The 27532-nt window shown below is 47.4% G+C and overlaps 1 pseudogene, besides 6 other annotated features; it reads right to left on the bottom strand.

Annotated features, from left to right (window-relative positions):
- Nucleotides 123–3342: an enhancer, noted in NCBI's record as "VISTA enhancer hs1397". NCBI's record gives its function as "enhancer in: nose[6/6] | ear[5/6]" and the evidence as "EXISTENCE:transgenic organism evidence [ECO:0001131][PMID:17130149]".
- Nucleotides 391–510: an enhancer, noted in NCBI's record as "active region_13405". NCBI's record gives its function as "activates an Ori minimal core promoter by ATAC-STARR-seq in GM12878 lymphoblastoid cells {active_cell/tissue: GM12878}" and the evidence as "EXISTENCE:reporter gene assay evidence [ECO:0000049][PMID:35858748]".
- Nucleotides 521–590: an enhancer, noted in NCBI's record as "active region_13404". NCBI's record gives its function as "activates an Ori minimal core promoter by ATAC-STARR-seq in GM12878 lymphoblastoid cells {active_cell/tissue: GM12878}" and the evidence as "EXISTENCE:reporter gene assay evidence [ECO:0000049][PMID:35858748]".
- RNU6-219P (RNA, U6 small nuclear 219, pseudogene) lies at nucleotides 2383–2489 on the bottom strand (annotated as a pseudogene).
- Nucleotides 17836–18641: an enhancer, noted in NCBI's record as "H3K27ac-H3K4me1 hESC enhancer chr18:56456348-56457153 (GRCh37/hg19 assembly coordinates)". NCBI's record gives its function as "activates a minimal SCP1, AML or CMV promoter by ChIP-STARR-seq in naive H9 embryonic stem cells {active_cell/tissue: H9 hESC(naive)}" and the evidence as "EXISTENCE:reporter gene assay evidence [ECO:0000049][PMID:30033119]".
- Nucleotides 24183–24944: an enhancer, noted in NCBI's record as "H3K27ac hESC enhancer chr18:56450045-56450806 (GRCh37/hg19 assembly coordinates)". NCBI's record gives its function as "activates a minimal SCP1, AML or CMV promoter by ChIP-STARR-seq in primed H9 embryonic stem cells {active_cell/tissue: H9 hESC(primed)}" and the evidence as "EXISTENCE:reporter gene assay evidence [ECO:0000049][PMID:30033119]".
- Nucleotides 24945–25707: an enhancer, noted in NCBI's record as "H3K27ac hESC enhancer chr18:56449282-56450044 (GRCh37/hg19 assembly coordinates)". NCBI's record gives its function as "activates a minimal SCP1, AML or CMV promoter by ChIP-STARR-seq in primed H9 embryonic stem cells {active_cell/tissue: H9 hESC(primed)}" and the evidence as "EXISTENCE:reporter gene assay evidence [ECO:0000049][PMID:30033119]".

Genomic DNA, 27532 nt, shown 5'->3' with positions numbered 1-27532 from the left:
GGTCTCTCCTCTGCCTTATGCCTCTCGGTCGAATTCTTTTATCTGAGGAGGCAAGAAGTGAGGATGCTACAGACCCGTAGGGACTCACCACCCATAACAGTAGTTGCCCATCGGCAAAATGAGCCTGACAAAACGTCCACTTTCCAAGCTCTTGATGAAGCTGACTTGGACAGTGTTCACAGTCAGAAGATGTTGGTCGCAGCCCTTCTCCGTCAGAGCCTCCTCTGTCTCTCAGTGTTCTGGATTGAACTGGTAATCATAGGTTTTGGTTTCTCTTCTGTTTCTCACTTTCTGGGAGTGTGAGATTGGAGCTGTGTTTTAAGATGTTGGTTTTGTTATTATTCAGGTATGGTGAGGCCAACAGATCAGGAGGTGACCACCATTGAAAAGATAGCTTTTATACTCAGAGTTCCTTAGAAACAGGAGCCTCGGCCCAGCATTCAGGATCCTATCGGGTAACACCAGGTGGGTCAGGAGGCAGAAAGGGCCAGGGGAAAGCGAGGGTGAGAAACTTTACTGTGGTTTTCACAGGAGGGGTTGGGCACGGCAGGGTCAACAGAGTAGGCAGGTTTAGGATTGGCCAGTTGGAATAATTTCTGCAGGCTCTGGGGCTTAGAGGGTGTCTCGAGTCATCTAGTATCTGGCCGTGGGATGATTGGGGCAAAAGAATTTTGCCTCCTGGAGTGTAAGAGCCAGGTAAAGAAGGTGGCTTGGAGTATGGGATCTGGATCCGTTAGTTTGCATACGAAAGGCCCACTACCAGGGGACGAGTTTGCTCTCTCTAAAAATTGGCTAACCCTGGGAAGGGCAGTCTCTTCCAAGTCAGCGAGCCCCCAGATACCAGAGCATCAAGAATATAGAAAATAGAGAGGCCGGGTGCGGTGGCTCACGCCTGTAATCCCAGCATTTTGGGAGGCCGAGGTGGGCGGATCACAAGGTCAGGAGATCGAGACCATCCTGGCTAACACGGTGAAACCCCGTCTCTACTAAAAATACGAAAAAATTAGCCAGGCATGGTGGCAGGTGCCTGTAGTCCCAGCTACTCGGGAGGCTGAGGCAGGAGAATGGCGTGAACCCAGGAGGCAGAGCTTGCAGTGAGCTGAGATTGGGCCGCTGCACTCCAGCCTGGGTGACAAAGCAAGACTCTGTCAAAAAAAAAAAAAAAAAAAAAGAAAGAGAGAGAGAAAGAGAGAAAGAGAAAATAGAGAGAGAGAAAAAAAAGAAAATAATAAAATTGGCCAGGTATGCCTGTGATCCCAGCACTTTGGGAGGCCGAGGCGGGTGGAACACCTGAGGTTGGGAGTTCGAGACCAGCCTGACCAACATGGAGAAATCCCGTCTCTATGTGGGGTTTAGCTGGGCGTGGTGGCGCACGCCTGTAATCCCAGCTACTCAAGAGGCAGAGGCAGGAGAATTGCTTGAACCCAGGGGGCGGAGGTTGCAGTGAGCCGAGACTGTGCCATTGCACTCCAGCCCAGGCAACAAGAGCGAAACTCAGTTTAAAAACAAATCATAACCACAATCATAATCATTATAAAATATAATCAATGCAGTTAGTGAGTGGGGGAAACACACCTGCTCTCCTATGATTCCTATGCTCCAGAGTTCCTTGGCCTAAAGCAGCCTGTATAAGGAGCTACTTAATCTCCAGCCTCAGAATAATAGTCGTTAGGAAAATGGCCTCTCTTTCCCCCAGTTCCACAAGGACTCTGACTTTCCTAGGCCCCGTCAGCAATCTCCTCTCTGCTGTCTTCACATAGAAAGGTTTTAAACTCATAACGATAAGTATCTCAGAGAGGTTACAAAATGACCTTGATGGGAAGAGAGTAAAATCCTCCCTGGAAAATTTCAACGCAGATGGCTGTCTTTCAAAGAGGAGACCTTAAAAAAGAAAGATAAACGAGAAAAACTAATAAACAGCATAATAAAACATATTTCCAAATGAGGGTTGCTGCACAGCTGTAAAACCTCATTGAAGTCTAATCGTGATAAAAGACTTTGAAATAATAAACCTAGCTGCAAATTAGGAATGTCTGCTAATGTAGTAATTTCTACCTAAGAGGCTTTGTGTCCAAACATGTCATTTGAGACTCCAGGCAGACAAAGGAGGATGCCCTTGGAAACAGGGCTGCCATTCAGCCCGGCAGCCCGAGGGCATTGGATTTCCTCACTGGGCTCAATAACATTTTCAGCCACATTAGGCACCAGCTTCAGACCTGGTGGGAAGCAAATTTAAGTGTCTCTTTTAGTGAAAAACAAAGAGAATGCTGTATTTCACAAAAGAAAGAAATTCGATCACTCTTTGGATTGGCAGACCTGGAGTCATAATGATTAAATTTGACAGTAGCTTGTGCTTCTAGAAGTTGATTTATTTTACTATTTTAAACTATGGGATGCTTCATGAATTTGCATGTCATCCTTACAAAGGGGCCATGTGAATCTTCTCCATATTGTTCCAATTTTGGTATATGTGCTGCCAAAGTAAGCACAGAAGTTGATTTTTAAAGACATTTTTGGGCTCAGAAAACTTAACCCAAAGGTATGAAATGCCCCAGATCTTATACTGAGCACAAATTCTTCAACAGTCTAGGAAAAATGTTTATCCTATTCACATTTATCTTTGTATTCCTAGGGATACATGAATGAACGATCCTATAAACAGAGAGGCAGTCCCATGGTGCTGATAGAGTAATAGATGACTCAACTCACCAATTCATTCATACATTCAATCATTTAGTCAATTTGAGGATAGAAACTGATGGCTGCCATGTGCCAGGCATTTGACATACAGAGTTAGCAAGAGAGACCTGTGGCAAGACACTGAAATAGGGGCATCTGGGGTGGGGAGTGGAGGTTCTCACACCTGTAGTTAGAGAAGAAGAAAGGCTTTTGGGAGCTGCAGAGAGAAGGAAGGAAGCTGTGGGTACAGGGGAGGGTATGCACTAATGGGTAAGGACACCAGATCCAAGAGCAGGGAGATCTCTGGTCCAACAAACAAAATATAATTTTTTTTTTTTGAGTCGGAGTTTCGCTGTTGTTGCCCAGGCTGGAGTGCAGTGGTGTGATCTCGTCTCACCGCAACCTCCACCTCTCGGGTTCAAGCAATTCTCCTGCCTCAGCCTCCTGAGTAGTTGGGATTACAGGCGTGCACCACCAGGCCCAGCTAATTTTATATTTTGTAGAGATGGGGTTTCTCCATGTTGTTCAGGATAGTCTCGAACTCCCAACCTCAGGTGATCCTGCCAGCCTCGGCCTCCCAAAGTGCTGGGATTACAGATGTGAGCCACTGCACCTGGCTACAAAATACAAATTAAAAGACTAAGAAACCAAGGATTGAGGGGTGAATGGAAAAGATTTACTCTCAAGCAAAGGACCCTAGACCAGTCTAGAGTCTAGGCTCTAGGGGATGAGTTTAGGGAATGTGAAATGGTGTCTTTTAAAGCTAAAGGATCAAGAATGATCTCTGTCCCAATTTAGGAAAGCAGTCTCTGAGTGTGGCTGAGGGGCTAGTGCATTAGATAACCCTTGGACTTGCCAGAGGGAACCAGATGTGAGTGTTGGTGTCACTCGGCTCCCTCTACTGTGTACATGAGGTACCCAGTTGGGATCATGGCATCCAGTTAGGTCTACACAGTTGTTAGCCGGTCATGGGCCAGGTCAGGATTTGTCATAGCAAGGACAGTAGACAGAAATTGCTTGGGTGGAGATCATCCTACCCCAATAATTCTTGCTCTTGCGTATATTCCGAGACACTTGTGGTAGGAAAAATCCTAAAGTGACCCCATTCATGAAATTTCCTGTTCTCATCCCATGGTCTAGGAATACCCTGATTAGGCTCCATTACCTGGCAAAATGTGGTTTTGCAGATGTCATTAAGGTCACTAATCAGTTGATTCAGAGTTAATCAAAGGGGGATTTTCCAGGGGCTCTAATCTAATCACAAATCCATTACAAGCAGAGAGTTTTATCCAGTTGATGGCAAAAAGGGAGGTCAGAGAGATTGAAAGCATAAGAATTTGATGCACCTTGAAGATGGAGGAGGTCACAGGTAAGGACCAAAGAGCAGCTTCTAGGAGATGAGAGTGACCCATGGCTGACAGCCCACAAGGTAGCAGGGACCTCAGTCTCATAGCTGCACAGAACTAAATTTTGCCAACAAGCTGAATGAACTTGGAAGCAGCTTCTTCCCTAGAGTCCAGCCTAGCCAACGTCTTGGTTTTAGCCTTGTGATACCAGAGCAGGGAACCCAGATGGGCCTGCCCAGACTTCTGACCTGCAAAACTGTGAGTTTAAAATAGGTGCTGGTTTCAACACCTATTCGGTGTTTGTGGTAATTTGTTTATTTTTATTTTGTTTTAGAGAAGGGGTCTCACTATGTTATGAGTTTAGAGAAGGGGTCTCACTATGTTATGTTTATTTTGTTTTAGAGAAGGGGTCTCACTATGTTACCCAGGCTGGAGTGTGGTGGCTATTTTCAGGCACGTTCCCACTACTGATCAGCATGGGAGTTCTGACCTGCTCCATTTCTGGCCGGGGCTGATTCACCCCTTCTTAGGCAACCTAATGGTCCCTCACTTCCGAGAGGTCACCATATTGATGCCAAACTTAGTGCAGACACCTGATAAGTGCAGACACTTGGCATAGTGCACTAAGGCCCAGAACTCCTGGACTCAAGGCATCCTCTGGCCTCAGACCCTGAGTAGCTGGGGCTACAGGTGCACACCACCATGCCCCGCAGTGATAATTTGTCATGCGCAATGGAAAATTAACACAACCTTCTGAGAGTCAGACATTGGGCTGGATGGAATAGAGACACAGTGGGTGCAGTCAAGAACCTTTAATGTTGTGAGGACAACAAATGTAGGCTGGCACAGAGAAATGCAGGATTAAAGTTCAGATGAGTGGGGCATGGAAAATCACTGAAAAATCACTTCAGAGATGTTCTGAGAAGAGACATGGGGCGGCTGGGTGCAGTGGCTCACGCCTAGCACTTTGGGAGGCCAAGGCGGGTGGATCATCTGAGGTCAGGAGTCTGAGACCAGCCTGGCCAACATGGTGAAAACCCACCTGTATGAAGAATACAAAAATTAGCTGGGTGTGGTGGCAGGCGCCCGTGATCCCAGCTACTCGGGAGGCTGAGGCAGGAGAATCGCTTGAACCCGGGAGGCAGAGGTTGCAGTGAGCCGAGATCACACCACTGCACTCCAGCCTGGGCAACGGAGTGAGACTCCATCTTAAAAAAAAAAAAGAGACAGGGGGCAATGGGATGTGGTGATAAGGATGGCATCAGGGATGAGCTTGGTGGCTCCAATGATAACATAACCCCCAACATTTAGGTGGTCCTGGGGCCCCAAAGATGCTCTATAGAGAGATGGGCACGTATAGAGGAGCGAGTCCTCCCTTTCCTTTTTACATCAAAATCAATGGGAGAAAAAAAAATCAAGAAGCGAGAATTTGGTTAAGGAGAGGATATAGGACTAAATGGCTCCTGTTGCTAAAAATTAATGAGCTGTTCCCTAAGGTGTTTATTACAGATACCATTAATAGACTGTATCCATTTTCCTTTAAAAGATGTTGCTACTGCCCAATTATCCAAAATTCTGTTTCTTTTCAACAGTATTTTATAAAAAGCCAGCACATTAAAATAAAAGGAATGTTTAAGAACCCTGGGGAGATTAAGCTGTCAGGCAGCTGAGGCAGACCCTCTCTTGAGAACAGATTAATTTCTTCTTTTTATCTCTGCACATGCTTCCCCAGGACCCCCAAAAGATGAGGATGTCAGTGAAGAAAATATTCCAACTACCAACTTTTCCGCTCTCTGAAGGGTGAGAGGTGGGGAGGGGTGGCAGGGAGGTTGGGCAATGGCAGATGGGCAGAGGGAAAAGAAGCAAAGAAGCACTGCTCACTGAACTATGGCCTGAGAGGTCCCCAGAAACACTGCTCAGAAGGGGGCCGTCTGCATCCTGCCAATTAGCATCCCAAAGACCTTGATAAATGGATGGCAAAAACATCCATTCCCCTTAATTTTTTTTTTTTTTCCTGTCACCCAGGCTGGAGTGCAGTGGTATGATCACAGCTCACTGCAGCCTTGCCCTCCCGGGCTCAAGCAACAATCCTACCTCAGTCTCCCGAGTAGCTGGGACTACAGGCGTGCACCACCACACCCAGTTAATTAAAGAAAAAAAAAATTATAGAGACAGGGTCATGCTACATGCCCAGGCTGGTCTTTAGCTCCTGGTTTTAAGCGATCTTCCTGCCTTGGCCTCCTAAAGTGTTAGGATTACAGGTGTGAGCCACTTTGCCCAGCCTAATGTTGCTACATTTACCAGTTTGCTTTGTTAGGACAATGTCTCTCCTTTAGGTTCACAGAACATGTTCCCTCTTCTTTCCCAACCTAAAATATCATAGCAAAAGATTGGAGACCTCACCATCCTGGCTAACACGGTGAAACCCCGTCTCTACTAAAATACAAAAAATTGGCCGGGCGTGGTGGTGGGTGCCTGTAGTCCCAGCTACTCAGGAGGCTGAGGCAGGAGAATGGCGTGAACCCGGGAGGCGGAGCTTGCAGTGAGCCGAGATCACACCACTGCACTCCAGCCTGGGTGACAGAGCAAGACTCCCTCTCAAAAAAAAAAAAAAAAAAGATTGGAGACCTCAGATCACAAAGAAATAATCCAGTGACAGAAAATGTTTACAACTGTACAAATCAATTTCTTAGCTTCCATTCACCTGCATATCTACCCTGAGTACCGTGGAACCTATCTTGGGTTTGGGTGTGGGTGCGAAGTTGAGATGGGCCTGGTGTTGATTCAATTACAGGGTATGACTGTGTTCTTGAAGGTGCCTTTCCCTCCTTGGCAGGTATCCTGTGTGACCCTTTGTGCAGGACGTATGCTCAGCCCTTGCTTCAGCCTTACTTCATGACTTTATGTTTGTCTGCAGAGACGCTTCCTCCTCTTGGCCTGCCATGACCTGTTCCTGAACGTCTGTCTAGTTTCACATTCAGAATCTCCCCTACCTATCAATTGTTGCAGCCACTCTGGACTGTTTCTGCCTCCTAAATACCCTGTGCTCTCTCTTCCTCTTTCTTTTTTTTATTTTTATTTTTTTGAGACTGAGTTTTGCTCTTCTTGCCCAGGCTGGAGTGCAATGGTGTGATCTCAGCTCACTGTAACCTCTGCTTCCTGGGTTCAAATGATTCTTCTGCGTCAGCCTCCCGAGTAGCTGGGATTACAGGCATGCGCCACCACACCTGGCTTTTTTTTTTTTTTTAGACGGAGTCTCGCTCTGTCTCCCAGGCTGGAGTGCAGTGGTGCAATCTCGGCTCACTGCAACCTCCACCTCCCGGGTCCTGGTTCAAGCAGTTCTCCTGCCTCAGCCTCCCCAGTAGCTGGGATTATAGGTGTGTGCCACCAGGCCTAGCTAATTTTTGTATTTTTAGTAAAGACAGGGTTTCACCATGTTGGCCAGGCTGGTCTTGAACTTCTGACCTTGTGATCCACCCGCCTCGGCCTCCCAAAGTGCTGGGATTACAGGCATGAGCCACCATGCCCGGCCTAATTTTTGTATTTTTAGTAGAGACGAGGTTTCATCATGTTGGCTAGGCTGGTCTCGAACACCTGACCTCAGGTAATCTGCCTGCCTCAGCCTCCCAAAGTGCTGGGATTATAGGCATGAGCCACCACACCCGACCTGACATCTCCTTATTTACTAGGCAAATTTCTACCTATTCTTCAAGTCTCAACATAAACTCTAGCTCTATTAAGCTTTCAATGATTCTTTTCAATGATGAGATCCCTCATGCTCCCACCAACCCTTGGTTGGCTTAGTGGACTGCAATCATCTGTGAGGCTCTCTGTTAAACCCCGCGAGTTGACGGAGAGCTCCTCTGTTGCTTTGTTCATTTACATGTTTGTTTTTTGTAGATGGAGTCTTGCTTTTTCGTCCAGGCTGGAGTGCAGTGGTGCGATCTTGGGTCACTGAAACTTCCGCCTCCCAGGCTCAAACGATTCTCCTGCCTCAGCCTCCTGAGTAGCTGGGACTACAGGCGCCCACCACCATGACTGGCTAATTTTTGTATTTTTAGTAGAGACAGTATTTCACCATGTTGGCCAGGCTGGTCTCGAGCTCCTGACCTCAAGTGATCCACCAGCCTTGCCCTCCCAAAGTGCTGGGATTACAGATGTGAGCCACTGCACCCAGCCCGTTTTCATATTTGGGTTGCTAACATTATTACCCTTCTGTAATTAATATTTGCTGACTGAAGGGCAGTAGAGATTATGGGCAGTAGAGATTATGTCCTGTAGATGAGATGTGTGAAGTGTTTGTCCTGCACAATGTCTGGCTTATCCTCCTAAGGTGCCCATTAAATCTTGGGCTTCTCATGTAAAAGGAGTGAACACACAGAGAAAAATGCAGAGTCCTTCTGAGTGAAGCCACCCAAAATGCTAACATACGTCTGAAGAGGGTTTATTTGTAGTGGAAACAAAACAGTAAGACTTTGAAGGCCAGGTGCAGTGGCTCCCACCCGTAATCCCAGCACTTTAGGAAGCTGAGGCAAGGGGGATCACTTGAGTCCAGGAGTTCGAGACCAGCCTGGGCAACATGGCATAACCTTGTCTCTACAAAAATAAAAAAAATTAGCTGGCAGTGGTGGCATCCTCCTATAGTCCCTGCTACTAGGGAGGCTGAGGTGGGAGGATCGCTTGAGCCTGAGAGGTCGAGGCTGCAGTGAGCTGTGATGTGCCACTGCACTTCAGGCTGGGTGACAGAGTGAGATCCTGTCTCAAAAAAAAAAAAAAAGACTTTGGAAAGTACTTGTGAGACATTCAGGTTTTGAGAATTTGGGTTTGGTGAACCTATTAGAGAAGAAAAAATAAGTAGATACCAGTTTCTTGTTGGCACTGGTCCTCACCTGCAGTCTTATTAATTTCCAATGCAGTCTACTTTTGGCAGGCCAAGAAGTTACATCCCTGGGGTGGTTTTTTTTTTTTTTTTTTAACTTAACAGTGGAAAGGACAGGAGACTTGGAGTCAGAAACTCCCAAGTCCCAGCCTTGACTCTGCCACTCTCTGCTAATGTGACCTTAAGATCTTGGTGCCTCAATTATGTCATCCTCAAAATGGGGGTATAACAATGGCAGTCGAGATCTCCTCACGAGGCTGTAGTGACTCATTAATGAGATACCTTAGATGTAGTTGACAGATTTTTTTTTTTTTTTTTGAGATAGAGTCTCTCTTTGTCACCCAGGCTAGAGTGCAGTGGCACAACCTCGGCTCACTGCAACCACTGCCTCCCGAGTTCAAGCGATTCTCCTGCCTCAGCCTCCCGAGTAGCTGGGACTACAGGTGCCCGCCACTACGCCCGGCTAATTTTTGTATTTTTAGTAGAGACGGGGTTTCACCATGTTGGCCAAGCTGGTCTCGAACTCCTGACCTCATGATCCGCCCACCTCGGCCTCCCAAAGTGCTGGGATTACAGGCATGAGCCACTGCGCCCGGCCGACAGATAATTTTTTTTTTTTTTAATTTGCGAATCAGGCAGCCTCCAGAACCAGAATAGGTTCAGAGAGAATCCTGACAGATTATTTGTTTAAAAACATTGTAAAATCATTTAAAAAATGAAATGAGTTTCATACAGCTATAAAATAGATATGTGTCAAGGATTTTATTTAACTCATTAATTAATGGGGGAGCCAGTAAAGCTTTAAAAACCAATTTGAAGGAGACGCTAAACAGCAAGACACATAAATATATAGTCAGTTAGGAACGCTGAGTGAGTACCTTTATTAATAGAGGCAAAACTGGCTTCAGAGGTGGTGGTGGTAGCAGGTTGGGATCAATTGCACCTCAACTGGACAAAATTCATTTGCATGTCTGTGCAGGAATCATTACTATCAGTTTTGTAAACTCACAGGGTTGAAAAACAGCTCCTACAGCTGAGAAAGCAATGTGCAAATTGTAGTTTTCTTAATTCCTAGGCAATGTGTGGCACACACAGTGCTCGTGGAAGGAGGCTGCCCGGCCTATTAAACCTTAAAAATCACTTTTTTTTTTTTTTTTTTTTTTGAGACGGAGTCTCGGTCTGTCGCTCAGGCTGGAGTGCAGTGGCGCGATCTCGGCTCACTGCAAGCTCTGCCTCCTGGGTTCACGCCATTCTCCTGCCTCAGCCTCCCGAGTAGCTGGGACTACAGGAGCCCGCCACCGCGCCCAGCTAATTTTTTTGTATTTTTAGTAGAGACGGGGTTTCACCGTGGTCTCGATCTCCTGACCTCGTGACCTGCCCACCTCGGCCTCCCAAGGTGCTGGGATTACAGGCGTGAGCCACCGTGCCCGGCCACCTTTTTGTTTTTGAGACAGGGTCTCACTCTGTTACCCAGGCTGGAGTGCAGTGGCACCATCAGGGCTCACTGCAGCCTCGACCTCCTGTGCTCAAGCAATCCTCTTGCCTCAGCCTCCTAAGTAGTTGGTACAATAGGCACGTGCCACCACATCTGGCTAATTTTTAAATTTTTAGCCGAGATGGGGTCTCACTATGCTGCTCAGGCTGCTCTTGAACTCCTGGCCTCAAGTGATCTTCCTGCCTCGGCCTCCCAAAGTGTTGGGATTACAGGCATGAGCTATCACACCTGGCCCCATCTTATCTTTTGTGTTTTGTTTTTAATCTCCAAGACTGTTTATTGTCTTTTTTTCTTTTTTTTTTTTTTTCTGTTTTCTCTTTATTTTTTATTTTGAGATGTAGTCTCGCTCTGTTGCCCAGGCTGGAGTGCAGTGGTGTGATCTCAGCTCACTGCAACGTTGGCCTCCCAGGTTCAAGCAATTCTCCTGCCTCAGCCTCCCGAGTAGCTGGGATTACAGGTGCGTACCACCACGCCCGGCTAAGTTTTGTATTTTTAGTAGAGACGGGGTTTCACCATGTTGGCCAGGCTGGTCTCAAACTCGTGACCTCAGGTGATCCACCTGCCTCAGCCTCCCAAAGTGCTGGGATTACAGGTGTGAGTCACTGCAACTGGCCTATTGTTGTTTTTAAAAGACCTATGCTAAATTCTAGTTTTCAAGAAAGTAAAATCCTGACTCATGGAAATATAAAATGAACATGTATCAAAGATTTTAATTCATTGGTGAATGTGGAAACCAGTAAGCTGCTAAAATTGGTTCAAATGAGAATTTAATTTACAGAGTTTTTTTTCTGTAAAGACATGATTCTTTTGCATTGCTATGATCAGGAATCTGTGCATTCCGATGGACAAGGAAAATTTATGTTGTCAGTTTTCTACAACTTTATCCCTACAGAATTGTTAAATAGCTTAGCCAATCACAAACAACCCAAGACACATGCCTCTGGAGTCAGATCATTCCTGGAAGGCCCTCTAGAAACACCCAGCACTCTACTACCACAAGGTCACCAGGATTCTCTTGCCCATTTGCAAGTCTTTGGCAGGTTTTCCTGACCAGTAGGTGGGTACCACTGCCCCATGGACAGTCCTGTCTTTGCCTGCCTTTGTTGGCCTCCTCTCCTTTTCTTCTTTCTTGAGACAGTTTTGCTCTTCTTGCCCAGGCTGGAGTGCAATGGCGTGATGTCAGCTCACTGCAACCTCTGCCTCCTGGGTTCAAGCAACTCTCCTGCCTCAGCCTCCCAAGTAGCTGGGACTACAGTCATATGCCACTATGCCCAGCTAATTTTTTTTTTTTTTTTTGAGATGGAGTTTCGCTTTTGTTGCCCAGGCTGGAGTGCAATGGCACGATCTCGGCTCACTGCAACCTCTGCCTCCCAGGTTCAAGTGATTCTTCTGCCTCAGCCTCCCGAGCAGCTAGGATTACAGGCACTCGCCACCACGCCCGGCTAATGTTTTATATTTTTAGTAGAGTTGGGGGTTTCACGATGTTGGGCAGGCTGGTCTAATTTTGTATTTTTAATAGAGATGGGGTTTCACCATGTTGTCCAGGCTGGTCTCAAACTCCTGACCTCAGGTGATCTGCCCGCCTTGGCCTCCCTAACTGCTGGGATTACAGGCGTGAGCCACCACGCCCAGCCTTCCTTTTCTTCTTGACAGGCCCATCGCACCTTTATCCCACTCCTCCCATCCCAGCGTCTTCTCCATTGGACGAGATCCTAAGCCATTTCCACCAGCCTTAGAGAAAGAGGTGACCCTTTGTTGGGATTCAGGACATTCTACCCTCAAATATTTTAAGCTGAAATAATGTGTGGGCCGGTTGCGGTGGTGTGTGCCTGTAATCCCTGTGCTTTGGGAGGCTAAGGTGGGAGAATTGCTTGAGGCCAGGAGTTTAAGACTAGCCTGGGCAACATAGTGAGATGCCCATCTTTACAAAAAATTTAAAAATTAGCTGGGCACAGTGGTGCATCTGTAGCTCCAGCTGCCCGGGAAGCTGCAGTGGGAGGATGGGTTGAGCCCAGGAGCTTGGGACAGCAGAGAGCCATGATGGTGCCACTGCACTCCAGCCTGGGCAACAGAGTAAGACCTTATCTCTAAAAAAAATAAGTTAATTTTAAAAAAAGAGTTTGTGCAGGAAGATCTGACTTTCTCTGCTTTTTCCCTGAAGCAGGTTATAACACTTAGGAAGGATTTTCTAACCTTTCCCTGAAGCAGGTCATGAAATCCTCATGTAACAGATACCCTCCTTCTACCCAGAGAACAAGAGCGTCTTCATCTCTGAAGACCCAGGGAGGCAGAGAATCTGAACAAGCTTGCCAAGCCTCCCCCAGTTTATTGCCATTAGATCACAGTTTTTTGCTACCTCATATTTCTCCACTAGTATACCCTTCATCAAATCTAGCATTAAAATACTCAGGTTTAACTGTTTCGTTGGGTTTTCATTTTCTTTTTTTTGAGACGGAGTCTCGCTGTTGCCAGGCTGGAGTGCAGTGGCACGATCTCGACTCACTGCAACCTCTGCCTCTCGGGTTCAAGCGATTCTCCTGCCTCAGCCTCCCGAGTAGCTGGGACTACAGGCGCGTGCCACCACACCCGGCTACTTTTTGTATTTTTAGTAGAGATGGGGTTTCACCATGTTGGCCAGGCTGGTCTCGAACTCCTGACCTCATGATCCCCCCACCTTGGCCACCCAAAGTGTTGGGATTACAGGCGTGAGCCACTGCGCCTGGCCTGGATTTTTGTTTTCTTTTGAAGGCTTCATGCCATGGTAAAGTTACATTAAATACATTTGTATGCTTTTCTCTTTTGTTATAGGGGCTGCTGCCATGAATGTAAGATGGTAGAGGAAAATACATTTTTCCTCCCCTCCACTTGCTTCTTCAAACCATTCTTTTCAAGACCATGCTCCTTTAATTAACATCCCTCTCTTCTGTTTTTCCAACTGCTCCCGTCCTTTATCGCCACTGGCTTCTGTTCCATGCTTAGAAACATCTTTAAATCCCCTTTAACTTAAAAACAAACAAAAATATGAAACCACCCACCTCTATTTGTGCAGGAAGGCAAAGGACAGAAAAAACCCTTGACTTTTTGATGGCAAATAGCAGAGATAAACAAACTTTTTCCTTAAAGTGCCAGGTAATAAATCTTTTAGGCTTTGTGGGCCACATATGGTCTCTGTTGCATTTTCATTTTTTCTTTACAAGCTGTAAAAAATGGAAAAGCCATTCCTAACTTGTGGATAGTACAAAAACAGGCTGCAGGCCAGATTTGCCTGCAGGCTATAGCGTGCTGATTCCTCGTTTGCAGAAGCAAGCATTTATTTATTTGAGGCAGAGTCTCACTCTGTCGCCCAGGCTGGAGTGCAGTGCAGTGATCCCGGCTCACTGCAATCTCCGCCTCCGGGTTCAAGCAATTCTTCTGCCTCAGCCTCCCGAGTAGCTAGGACTACAGGCACACACCACCATGCCTGGCTAATTTTTGTATTTTTAGTAGAGGCGGGGTTTTACCATGTTGGCCAGGCTGGTCTCGAACTCCTGGCCTCAAGTGATTCGTCCACCTCGGCCTTCCAAAGTGTTGGGATTAGTCATGAGCCACCATTCCTGGCCAATTTTTCTTTATGCTTCTGAGGTATGTTACAGTAGTCATTCCTTGGATGTTGGACATGGCTTGTACTTGCTTGGCTGGTGGAATGTTAGCAATGGTGACATGAGAGGAACGTGCTTTGGGGACTTGCCAGTCCAGGAAGGATGAGGGACATATGAAACACACCTGGATGCAAACTCCAGCTTGGAACCAAGCCTGGCTGGGCCCAGCTTAGATCCACCAAACCTTAGCCAACTGTGATGTTGTGCAATACAAATGGCTGACTGCTTAGTAATAAACTAAGCAGGAGAACTCAGTAACTGCAGTTATTTCTGTCTTGCTCATCAAAGCCTTAGACTAGAGTTTCTCAAAGTGTGATCAGTTATCTCAAGTGGCTGCCAAATGTCACTTTCCTGGGCCTTAACCTGAGAGGGACTAACTTGGAAAATCTGGGGAGAAGACTTAATAAAGTTTATTATTACTAATGGGGGAGTTTGAGAATGTGCCTCAGATCTTTTTTTCTAAGAGTTATTTGATTCAGGTTGGTAATAGCTACTTTAGCAACCATGTGATCCATGGTGCCTACCATGCAGGCACCAGGTGCTTTGCATAGATATGGATTTTATTTTTATTTTTAATTTTATTTATTTTTTGAGATTGAGTCTCGTTCTTTTGCCCAGGCTGGAGGGCAGTGGCACAATCTCGGCTCACTGCAACCTCCGCCTGCCAGGTTCAAGCGATTCTCATGCCTCAGCCTCCCGAGTGCTGGGATTACAGGCGTGCACCACCACGCCCAGCTAATTTTTTTGTACTTTTAGTAGAGACGGGGTTTCACCATGTTGGCCAGGCTGGTCTTGAACTCCTGGTCAAGTGATTCACCTGCTTTGGCCTCCCAAAGTGCTGGGATTACAGGCATGAGCCACCATGCCTAGCCTGATTTTATTTTATTTATTTATTTTTGAGATGGAGTCTCGCTCTGTTGCCCAGGCTGGAGGGCAGCGGCACGATCTCGGCTCACTGCAACCTCCGCCTCCCGGGTTCAAGCAATTCTCCTGGCTCAGCCTCCCGAGTAGCTGGGATTACAGGTGCCTGCCACCACGTCCAGCTAATTTTTGTATTTTTAGTAGAGATGGGATTTCACCATGTTGGCCAGGCTGGTCTTGAACCCCTGACCTCGTGATCTGCCTGCCTCGGCCTCCCAAAGCTGATTTTATTTTTAAACTTCTTAACAACAACTCCATGAACAGGTGTGACTATCCCCATTTCACAGCTGAGTACACAGAGGCTTAGAGAGGTTAAATAACTTACCTAGGATCACGAGAAGCAAGGACGAGGGTCAGATGTACCCCGTGATTCTTCTTCTATACCTGCTACCTGCTGGCATACCTAATTTGGTTTACAGCTTTCGTTCTTACCAGGGTTAAATAATTATGCAAATCAACTTCTGCAGCCAGTCCTAGCCAAAGAGCCTAGGAAAGTGAAAGAGAAAACCGAACAAGGGGAAGGGAGAGGACAATGATTCCGGGAAGCTCTGCTGGGGACTGGTGGTAAGTGGCAAGGCCTGTTAGACTCCTTCAGGGTTGATAGGCTATTTCTGGTTCCTGGGCACATATAAGAAGGAGGGAGGGGGGAAGGACCAGCAGGGACAGCAAGGCCGGGACAGAGGGGTTGAGTGGTCACATTTTTTTTTTGAGATGGAGTTTTGCTCTGTCACCCAGGCTGGAGAGTGGCAGCACAATCTTGGTTCACTGCAACCTGTCTCCTGGGTTCAAGTGATTCTCCTGCCTCAGCCTCCCGAGTAGCTGGGATTACAGGTGTGCACCACCACGCCCGCCTAATTTTTGTATTTTTAGTAGAGACAGGGTTTCACCATTTTGCCCAGGCTGGTCTTGAACTCCTGACCTCAAGTGATCCACCACCACCCTTGGCCTCCCAGAGTGCTGAGATTACAGGCGTGAGCCACCGCGCCTGGTCAAAGAAACTTTAAAGAAAGCAAACATCCACTCAGATGGTGCAGGCTGCTATAAGCAATTACCATAGATGGCATGCCTTATAAAACAACAGAATTTTGTTTCTCACAGGTCTGGAGGCTGGAAGTCTGAGATTAGGGTACCAGCGTGATCAGGTTCTCGTGAGGTCTCTCTTCCAGGTTGCAGATGCTGACTTCTCTGGGATGTTCCTCTTATAAGTGAACTAATCCCATTCCCAAAGCTCCACTTATGACATAATCACCTCCCAAAGGCTCTACCTTCTAATACCATTACCTTGGGGGTAGGGATTTCAACCTATGAATTTGCGGGGGAGGGGCACAAACATTTAGTCCCTAACAGGTGGATCGCATTACTTTAGAACTGCCTGAAGAGGGTGTTGAAAATACCTTCCTTGGGCCAGGTGTGGTGGCTCACGCCTGTAATCTCAGCACTTTGGGATGCCGAGGCAGGCGGATCATTTGAGGTCAGGAGTTCAAGACCAGCCTGGCCAACATGGTGAAACCCCGTCTCTACTAAAAATACAAAAATTAGCTGGGCATAGTGGCACGTGCTTATATTCCAGCTACTTGGGAGGCTGAGGCAGAAGAATTGCTTGAATCTGGGAAGTGGAGGTTGCAGTGAGCTGAGATTGTGCCATTGCACTCCAGCCTGGGCGTCACAGCCAGATTCAGTCTCAATTAAGAAAAAAACAAAACAAAACAAAAACACCCTTCCTCAGCTCTCCCGAAGCCTCCAAGATTCTCATTTAACAGGTCTGAGTAGTGCCTAGAAAATCTTCATTCTTCATTTTCAGCAAACTTTCTAAGCCCGAGGCTAGTGTTTTCTTTTTTCTTTTTCTTTTCTTTTCTTTCCTTTTTTTTTTTTTTTTTTTTGAGATGGAGTTTCCTTCTTGTTGCCCAGGCTGGAGTGCAATGGTGAAATTTTGGCTCACTGCAACCTCCACCTCCCGGGTTCAAGCAATTCTCCTGCCTCAGTCTCTCTAGTAGCTGGGATTACAGGTGGATGCCATGATGCCCAGTTAATTTTTGTATTTTTAGTAGAGATGGGGTTTCACCATGTTGGTCAAGGCTGGTCTCGAACTCCTGAACTCTGGTGATCTGCCCGCCTTGGCAGATCTGTGGCTTGCATTTTGCACTTTCTGTATCTTAACACATCTTTCCATGTCAATAGATATAAATATACATCATACTTATGGTAGATTTTCAGGTATATGTGGAGATGCTTATTTGAGGGGACCATACCATCTGGGACCTTTGACTTCCTTTTCAACTCACACTGTCTAGCAAACACCCACTCTGCTGGTGGTTAAGGCTAGAACTTGGGGTGCATTTCTGAATCCCAGAGTCCTGACTGGGCTTGGAGGTGAGGAGCTCTTGGCTGGTCTGGGCCTTCTGCATTCTGCATCAATACTCATGGGCTTCTGAAAATAGTCACCAGTATTTTCAGCCTCTGATGCTGATCCTGAGGGTCTCCCAGCTCCGAGGCCACCGTGAAGCTGCAGGGCTTGCAGTTTGGGGTTACACAGAATGTCCATCCCAAGTCCCAACCCCCCACCTCCCATGCACAGGAGGCCAGTGGGGATAGTGTTTAGGATTCAAGGACTGAAACCTTAAGCCAAGTGAAACCACAGCGCCCGCCTTTGAACTGCAGAGATAGCTCCCCCAGCTCTCCCCTCCCAAGAAGGCCCTGGGTCCGCAGCAACAATGCAAAGTTCAAATCTATGACTACTTGCTAGCGCATTTGGGAACCATTAAGTGACCTCTGACCTCCCCTGGCCCTTGGACATGTGACCCTTAGGGGCTGTCTTCCCTGCCACAGAGACTGGGCGTGAGTTGTTGGAACCAAAGGAAAACTGTGTGTAGCAGCCTGTTTTGGAGATTAAATGAACTTAAAAATACAATCTGTAGTAAACTTTATTTTATTTTTTTAGTAATTGGGATAATTGGCTTCAGTCTGTGAGATAAACAAACTACAAAGCAAATCCTTTAACCTCCTGTGCCGGGCTGTAAAGGGGCCCGCATTTGTATTTTCCTGATGCTTTTGGTGACCTAAGGGCTGGCCTCTCTGCCTCTGGACTGGGGCTGGCACAAAGCCGGGCTAATCACAGAGCACTTTCGGAAATGAGGGTCTTGAATGGAATTTCCTCAACACGCCCTCGGCAGTCTGCAGCCTCCTCACTGAGTTTTCCCTTCTGGAAGGCTCTGGGCTGGGCAGGGCTGGAGAACAAAGGAGCCGTTTCTCTGAGTCTTCCTCAGAGCCCAGAAAGCCTCCTGACCCAACAAAAATTCAATAAAAGCAACTCTTGTGTTCCCTTCCGTGTACTACGGCTGTCAATAAATCAAGTGCTAGGGCTGAAAATAAGTCAAATGCTGCATATTCACAGTTAACAATGTGTACATCTCTGTGGGGGGAATAAAAATTGTTTACTGTAGATAAGAGTCTTGCCCTCAAAGAGCTTAATATTTACTTGGAATATCATGACTAATCACAGCAAGAGGAAAAAGTCAAATCATGATTTGTGGCAGCAATCCAAGCAATCTTGGGACAAAAGTAACAAGCTTTAAGAGTTCAGTAAATGCAAACTGTTGAGCATCTCTTCTACTAGACAAGGCTGCAGAAACCCTAAGGTGGGGACTTATCTCAAAGATAGCTGTCATTATTTTTTCTTTCCTCCCATGCACCTACCACTCCCTTTTGGAGAGGTGGAGCCTATCTCTCCACCCGCTGGGATCTGGGCTGGCCTATGACGGCTTTGACAAATAGGATGTGATGGAAGTTATGCTCTGCCAGTTAGGTCTAATCCTTAAGAGGCCTGGCAATTTCTGCTTCCCCTCTCTTAGAAAGACCCAGCTGACATGCTATGGGAAGTCCCTAAGCCACCTGGAAAGTCCAAGTGGAGTACAATTGAGGCTCCAGGACCATGGTACCAGCTGAACTCCCAGCCAATAGCACCAAGTCACCAACTCCGAGTGATCCACATGGAGGTAGATCCTCCAGCCCTGTTGATCCACCTCAGCTGCCAAGCAGTCCCTGCCTGCTTAGCCCCAGTTGCAAAACTGTGAGCAAATAAATGATGGTTGTTGCATTCTTGCATCTGCTTTGCTTTCACCACAATCCCTGTAAAGAAGGTGTTTCCAGGCGTGGTGGCTCATGCCTGTAATCCCAGCACATTGGGAAGCCTAGATGGGAGGATTGCTTGAGGCCAGGAGTTCAAGAAGGTGTCATTAGCATTATCCCCATTTTATAGATGAGGGGTTAAGGTGGAAGTGGTTAAGCAAATTATCCAAGATCTCACCAGTCAGTAGTAAGCGGAGGAGGCCCAAGGACACAGGGTGTGTTCTGGGGTTGGTGCTTACACCAGCGTGGCAGGAGCTTGGGATATTAGTCAGGAAGTGGTGTGATATAAAATAGGAAGAAGGGCCAGGTGTGGTGGCCCACGCCTGTAATCTCAGTAGTTTGGGAGGCTGAGGCAGGAGGATCACTTGAGCCCAGCAGTTTGAGGCCAGCCTGGGCGACATAGCGAGACCCCATCTCTAAATAAATAAATAAAATAAAACCAGGAAGATGGATGGGTTGGGATCAAATTAAGGAGGGACCCATGTGCCAGGATAAGAAGTTAGCACTTCATTCAATAATGACCGTTTATAAGTGGCCATCGGTGGCTTTTTAGCCAGAGAAGTGATGGGGTAAAAATATCTGAAACAAGTGGTTGAACACGAGATAGTCTGAAGGGCCAAGAGTCTGCCAGCAGATGGCTCAGCGGAGACAGAGTTGAAGTGATGGAAAATTGCTGCCTGCGATGGTGGCAACGGAACAGAAAAAGACACATGACAAGACTTAAAAAAAACACAATGGTAGGATTCCACGGTCAGGAATTCCAAAATATTTAAATCTGGGTGGCCCAAAGGAGAAGGGGTGATATCACCGAATGAACTGGCAATGCAGGAGGAAGAGCCAGTTTAGAAAGTCTTGCGCACGGAAAAAAAAGGTTTTTGTGGCATTGGCACAGATTTGAGGGAGATGAATTTAGTTTAAGATATGCTGAAACTGAAGAGCTGGCAAAGAATGAAGATGTGTAAGTCACACTTCCAGCCCTCGAGCCGTTGGTAATTCTGAGTTCCTTTTCTCTCTTACAAATACATACACAATCACACATGGACACAAATGTACGCACACACACATTATTTATATATTTATTTATTTTTTGAGACGGAATCTCACTCTGTCGCCCAGGCTGGAGTGCAGTGGCAAGATTTCAGCTCACTGCAACCTCTGCCTCCCTGGTTCAACCGATTCTTCTGCCTTAGCCTCCCGAGTAGCTAGGACTACAGGCGCACGCCACTACACCTGGCTAATTTTTGTATTTTTAGTAGAGACGAGGTTTCGCCATGTTGGCCAGGCTGATCTTGAACTCTTGACCTCAGATGATCTGCCCGCCTTGGCCTCCCAAAGTGCTGGGATTACAGGCATGAGTCACTGTGCCCAGCCTCACACACACATTCTTACATACATGCCAGAGAAGCAAATAGAAGTAGTATATAGTAAATAATAGTAAAATGAAAAAACCGTCCAAAACACTTGGTACTGACAATATATGCTACGAGTGATCTGAAAGAGAAAGATCAATTGGCCTCGTAGCATTCAAAGGGGTTACAGTAGGATCAGAGGAGGGGTATTCCTGGAACACGTGCTTACAGGCATTGAGCATCGAGGCAAACATGGAGGGAGGGATAGTGGGAGAGGACAATTATCATAGGCATCACACATTTTTTGAAAATGTGGTTTTAATGACCTCAAAGTATTCCATGCAAAACTACAATTTATTAGACGATTCCTCTAACTTTTTACATTTATGAGGTTGGCAATTTTGGCTATTATAAATTACATTAAAATGAAAGCTGGCTGGGTACAGTGGCTCACACCTGTAATCCCGTGCTTTGGGAGGAATGGGGAGGATGGCTTGAGCCCAAGAAGTCGAGGTTCCAGTGAGCTATGATCACACCACTGCACTCTAGCTTGGGTGACAAAGCAAGACCCTGTCTCAGAAAATAAATAAAATAAAATAAAATAAAGTCTCTGTAAATAATTTTTCGCTTACATCTGACCATTCTTGGAAGACAGATTCTTTGTTTTTTGAGATGGAGTTTCACTCTTGTTGCCCAGGCTGGAGTGCAATGGTGTGATCTTCGCTTACTCTAACCTCTGCCTCCTGGGTTCAAGTGATTCTCCTGCCTCAGCCTCCCAAGTATCTGGGATTACAGGTGTCCGCCACCATGACCAGCTAATTTTTTTGTATTTTTAGTAGAGACAGGGTTTCACCATGTTGGCCAGGCTGGTCTTGAACTCCTGACCTCAGGTGACCCACTTGCCTCGGCCTCCCAAAGTGCTGGGATTACAGGCGTGAGCTACTGTGCCCAGCCAGAATAGATTCTTAGAAATGGAATTAGTGGGCTGAAAAATGTCAATTAAAAAATATATATGTATATATTTTAGAGACAGGGTCTCACTCTGTTGCCCAGGCTGGAGGGCAGTGATGCAATTATAGTTCACTGCAGCCTTGACCTCCTGGGCTCAAGCTATCCTCCCACCTCGGCCATCTGAATAGCTGGGATTATAGGTACGTGCCACCATGCCCAGCTCTAAGATATTCTTGACACTCTTTGCCAACAGCCTGCTAAAAACATGGTCAGTTTGGCTGGGCAGGACGCACAGCTGTGTGTTCTGTATGACCTGTTTTACACATTAAATATTTGAAAATAAATAAAAACACAACCCACAATGTTAACAGTGCTTACCTCCGGGTGTTGAGGTTTAGGGGTGATTTAATGGACTTCTTTTTACCTTTCTATATTGTATACATTTCCAAAATAATTTTATCAAATTACTTTTTTAAGTAGGAAAATCCTATGATAGAACACTGTGCTCAAGGCATGAATCCTGTGTTGTTGCTCCAGCTCTCCAGCCGACAATGTGAACTTGGACAAGCCACTGGATCTCGGCTGAGCTAGAGCATCTGAGACAGCCACTAGGTGCTCTCAGCCCAGGACCTGGGGCACTTAAAAAACTCCTTGCTCTGAGTCCCTGCCCAGAGTAACTGCATCTGTATTTGCAGGGTCGGGTGAGGCCTGGTTATGGGAATTTTTCAAAGGTGAGTCATGGACACTAATGTGCAGTTTAGGGCAGGCTTCCCTGATCCAAAGGCTCTAAGGAAGGCCTTGAAAGCCACGATGAAGACCTCATCCCATGGGAGCTGTGGGCTCCTTCAGAGCTGGGAGAGAGGAGGCGGGTGGTGGCTGCGGCACACCTTTCTGTGTCTGTTGGCAGCATCTCAGCCGCAGGTAGCAGGTGGGGTCTGATTCATCTCCAGCAACATTTACAGACAATGAGTCACAACCAAAGAAAATCACGTATCCCGAGAGGGAAGCCAGGTCCTCTTTGATTCCAAGCACCGGGTGAGATCAGAACAGGAGGACCAGGCAGGCAGTGTCTGGCGGTGGCTCTCCCTTCCTGCAGCAGGGGAGCAAAGCCGGGGGTCTCTATTTTGGCGGGGCTTGTGGTTGAGGAGAGGGGAGTGAAGATGGGCCGGAGGGAGAAGTGGGATCAGGCTGGTGGCCTTGCTTCCTCTGGGCCAGTGAGCAGTGGCCACTCTGCTGGCCAGGCACCTACCCTCCTCCAAAGCCTGGAGATGAGGGCAAGTGAATCCTTCACTCCTCTCTTGGGGTTATTTCTATGGGGAGGGGGCTGGGCCCTCTGCTGGTTCCCTTAGCAACAGGGCCTGGCCCAGCTGCATTGTGCAGAGGCCCCAGCTAGGAAAGGCAGAGGGGGAAGGAAGGGAGGAGATGGTTTTCCACGGCCTGCCCTTCTCAGAGGTGGCGGGGGCTGTCAACATCCCAGAGCCCTTGGTTCCGGAGGGGGAGGGGATGCCCGTCGAGAACTCAGTCTTTTCCCAGGGGGAGAAGGCCAGAGAGGGGCCCCGTGGGCATCACTGAGGTCATTGTTTACATGTAGAAAATTAGGCTGCAGCCACTCTTGGCTGCATCCCGGGTGGGAGGTGTTAGAAAGAGGACCAGACCAATCTTGCCCTTTGACGCTGCCCAGAGGAGGCGACCAGTCCCCGACAGCCCTGCTTGGCGGCGGGTCCTGGCCTTCCATCCTCTGTGCGCACGCGTGGCATTTTCTGACCTGCCCTTGTCAAAATGACTGCATGTTCTTCTTAGCATTTGGATTTGCAGAGCTTCTGAAGGGCTTCTGCCTCTGAAGTCCCCTGCCCTGCCTCGGTTCTCACGCCTTCACGCTCTCCCTGCTCTTCTTGCTCTTCCATTCTGCGTGGCTGTGGTCCCCTCTCCCTCGCCCCATCTCTCCTGCTTAGCGTCCATCTCTCCCCACGTTCCTTCTTCCCATTTATTCCTCCCCCACCACTATTCCAAAGCCAAACAAATTTCCCGTCCTCTTTCCAGTCTGTTTTCCCTCAGGATAATAAAAGTTCTCTCGGGGATCAATAAAACCATCCAGGCTACAAGACATTAGCAAACTGTGACCTAGATAGGCAATGCATGTTAGAAAGCTTTTGCCAATAGTGATATTTATTTTTATTTATTTAATTTATTTATTCATTTATTTTGAGACAGAGTTTCGCTCTGTTGCCCAGGCTGAAATGTAGTGGCGCAATCTTTGCTCACTGCAACCTCCGCCTCCTGGGTTCAAGCAATTCTCCTGCCTCAGCCCCCTGAGTAGCTGGGATTACAGGCATGTGCCACCATGCCTGGCTAATTTTGTATTTTTAGTAGAGATGGGGTTTCTCCATGTTGGTCAGGCTGGTCTCGAACTCCTGACCTCAGGCGATCCGTCTGTCTCAGCTTCCCAAAGTGCTGGGATTACAGGCGTGAGCCTCCGCGCCTGGCATATATTTATTTATTTATTTATTTATTTATTTATTTATTTATTTAGAGATGGAGTTTCGCTCTGTTGCCCAGGCTGGAGTGCAGTGGGGTGACCTCAGCTCACTGCAACCTCTGCCTCCTGGGTTCAAGCGATTCTCAGCGATTCATTCCTTAGCCTCCTGAGTAGCTGGGACTACAGGTGTGTGCCACCACACCTGGCTAATTTTTGTATTTCTTTTTTTAATAGTAGAGACAGGGTTTCACCATGTTGGCTAGGCTGGTCTTGAATGTCTGACCTCAAGTGATCATCCTGCCTCAGCTTCCCAAAGTGCTGGGATTACAGGTGTGAGCCACTGCATCTGGCCCCAGTAGTGATATTTAAATGCCTTGATATGTAAAGGTTTGAGCTTCCAAATGGAGATCACGATTATTGTAAAAGTGACCACTTTTCTGACCATGCCCGATGAAAAAGATGTTAGCATATATTCTAAACGCCATTAAGTGTCTTAAAAAGAACATAAATGTCTTCTGGAGGGATATATTGATGTTTTTAGTAATTCTCATATTGCCACTTTCTTAGAGATCATTATTTCGACCTAGAAAATATCTTTTTTTTTTTTTTTTTTTTTTTTGAGATAGGGTCTGGCTCTGTTGTCTAGGCTGGAGTGCAGTGGCACAATCTCAGCTCACTGCAGCCTCCACCTCCTGGGATCAGTTGATCCGCCAGCCTTAGCCTCCTGAGTAGCTAGGACTACAGGTATGCACCACCGTGCCTGGCTAATTTTTGCATTTTTCGTAGAGACAGGATTTTGCCATGTTGCCCAGGCTGGTCTCGAACTCCTGGGCTCAAGCCATCCACCCAGCCTCGGCCTCTGTGGTGAGCTGCGTGCCCGGCCTGCAATGCTCTTAAATACACACTGGGGAGACTCAGTCACCCATTTCATGATGGCCCTTTTCATTATTGAATGCATCACCCACATAGAGGAACAATACCCAGGACCCAGCTTTCCACAAACACAGAGGAGGTGGGCTTTCCTGCACTGCTGTGATCTCAGGGCAATGGGAAGCTTCCCCATGAAGTGTCCTCTAGATCCAGGTAGTCTAACATGAACTGGGCCTGAAGTGCCAGTGTCGGAGGATGCTTCTTCTGAGGTCTTTGCTCTGTCTAGGGTCCTCTTTCCAAACGCACATGCCAATGAAGGAAATTTGGGGACCTCTTTCTGGAAAGCATTAACCGCTGCCTAGCTGGGCTTGGGGAGTCAGAGGGAGTGGGCTCCTAGGAAGAGCAACTCGGGTGTCGGGGCGAGAACAAGTGGGAGAGAGAATGGGGCAACAAGGAGAGGATAACTGAGGTCCCATTGTCCTTCCCAAGGTGTGTTTCTTTTTTTTTTTTTTAAGGCAAGGTCTCACTCTGTTGCCCAGGCTGGAGTACAGTGGTGTGACCTTGGCTCACTGCAGCCTTGACCTCCTGGGCTCAAGTGATTTTTCCACCTCAGCCTCCCATATAGCTGGGACCACAGGTGCATGCCACCATACCTGGCTAATTTTTTAAATATTTTTTTTGTAGAGATGAGGTTTTGCCATGTTGCCCAGGCTGGTCTCGAACTCCTGGACTCAAGTGATCCACCGGCCTCGGCCTCCCAAAGTGCTGGGATTACAGGAGGGAGCCACTGTGCCCAGCCAGTAAAATACTTTTAATTTGATATTTGTTTCACGGTCTCTGTTGGGCTTTCTGGCTCCTCCCTGCTAATTTTTGGCTAGAAATGGAGAAGAGGGATGGTGGCAAGAGGAGGGTGTGTGCGTGAGTGGCAGAGGGTGAAGGAGAGTGAGCTGGTTGTTGGGCTGAGTGGTAGTGGGTGGATGAGAAGGAAGCTGTCTCCCAGCTTCGACACAGGGTTGTGCACACAAGAGGCCACATGCCACACCATATACCATGCACACCACCTCACACACGCACACTGAATCACACACACCATATACACACCCCTTACCCCATGCCACACACATACAACATCACACGCACACATCATGCACATAATCACACACCACGCACATACACACCACACACACTACACTGCACATTATACACACACCACCACCAAGGCATACACACACACAGGCACATGCCACACACAGCCTTTAGCCTTTCGAGAGAATAACACTGCCACCTGGTGGCTATTCACGTGCAAAGGCCCCGCTGAGTCTCGAGCATCAGTAACACAAGTTGTGTTACTCTGTACTTAGTGACTCTGGTTCCCACAGTCGAAAGTCTGCTCTTTTGACTCTTTGACTCTGCTCCCTCATGTCCTTTTCTCTGAAAATGAGCCAAACCATAAATGTACTTCTGAGGAGTGTTCGACAGTGTTCCCGGGAAACTCTGGGTGAGACAGAGAGCACTCCGATAACATCTCCCAAACGCGCTCCTGGTGCTCAGGGCCTTCAAACCCAGACAACTGGGCTTCTTTCGGAAAGAAGCTGTGGACTTGAGGAGGCAGAGAATAGCCAAAGAAAGGGCTTGATTTCAGGAGCTGATTCCAGCCTCTGTCAATACTGTGCATGTTTTAGCTACAACGACGGAAGAGCAGAGAACCCTGCATTATCAATATCAATTTCTGCTTCCCTGACCCATGCTTGGTATCTCCAGTAACGGCTCATTTCACTTTGCGATAATTAAAAGAAATGCCATCCATTTGCATTTTGAGTTCCTGCCCTGGGCCAGGCACAGTGCCTGGGAGTTCTGTCCGCTCCATCCACTGCTGGTGGCCTCAGTCCTCCCAGAAGGTGCAAAAACAAGTGTGCTCCTTGCTTTTTCTTTTTTTGAGACAGGCTCTCTCTCTGTCACCCAGGCTGGAGTGCAGTGGCACAATCATGGCTCACTGCAGCCTTGACCTTTTGTGCCCAAGTGATCCTGTTGCCTCAGAGCTAGGACTACAGGTGTGAGCCACCACATCTGGCTAATTTTTAAATGTTTTGTAGAGGCCGGGCGCGGTGGCTCACACCTGTAATCCCAGCACTTTGGGAGGCTGAGGCAGTTGGATTGCCTGAGGTCAGGAGTTCGAGACTAGGCTGGCCAACATGGTGAAACCCCTTCTCTACTAAAAATACAAAAAATTAGCCGGGCATGGTGGCACATATCTGTAATCCCAGCTACTTAGGAGGCTGAGGGAGGATAATTGCTTGAACCTGGGAGGTGGAGGTTGCAGTGAGCCAAGATCGTGCCACTGCACCCCAGCCTGGGCAACAGAGCAAGACTCTGTCTCAAAAAAAACAAAAAAAGTTTTGTAGAGACTGGGGTTGGAGGGAGGTCTCCTTATACTGCCCAGGCTGGTCTCGAACTTCTGGGTTCAAGCAATCCTCCTGCCTTGGCCTCCCAAAGTGCTGGGATTATGGGTGTGGGCCACTGTGCCTCGCCTGCTTTCTTTTTCAACCAGTGACTCAGGAAGTCCAGGGCACAGGTGATCTTTATCTCCCTACATCGATGCAGCAACAGGGTTCAGCTGAATGAGATCCTATGCATAAGGATATGGTTTAGATTTGTGTCTCCACCCAAATCTCATGTTGAGTTGGAGGAGGGGCCTGGTGGGAGGCGATTGGATCATGAGAACGGATTTCCCCCTTGCTGTTCTCGTGATAGTGAGTGAATTCTCACGAGATCTGACGGTTTAAAAGGGTGTGGCACCTCTCCC

Source organism: Homo sapiens, chromosome 18 (assembly GCF_000001405.40).
Source record: "Homo sapiens chromosome 18, GRCh38.p14 Primary Assembly".
NCBI lineage: Eukaryota > Metazoa > Chordata > Mammalia > Primates > Hominidae > Homo > Homo sapiens.
Note: the sequence above shows the minus strand (reverse complement) of the source record. Positions and strands in the feature narration are given on the sequence as shown.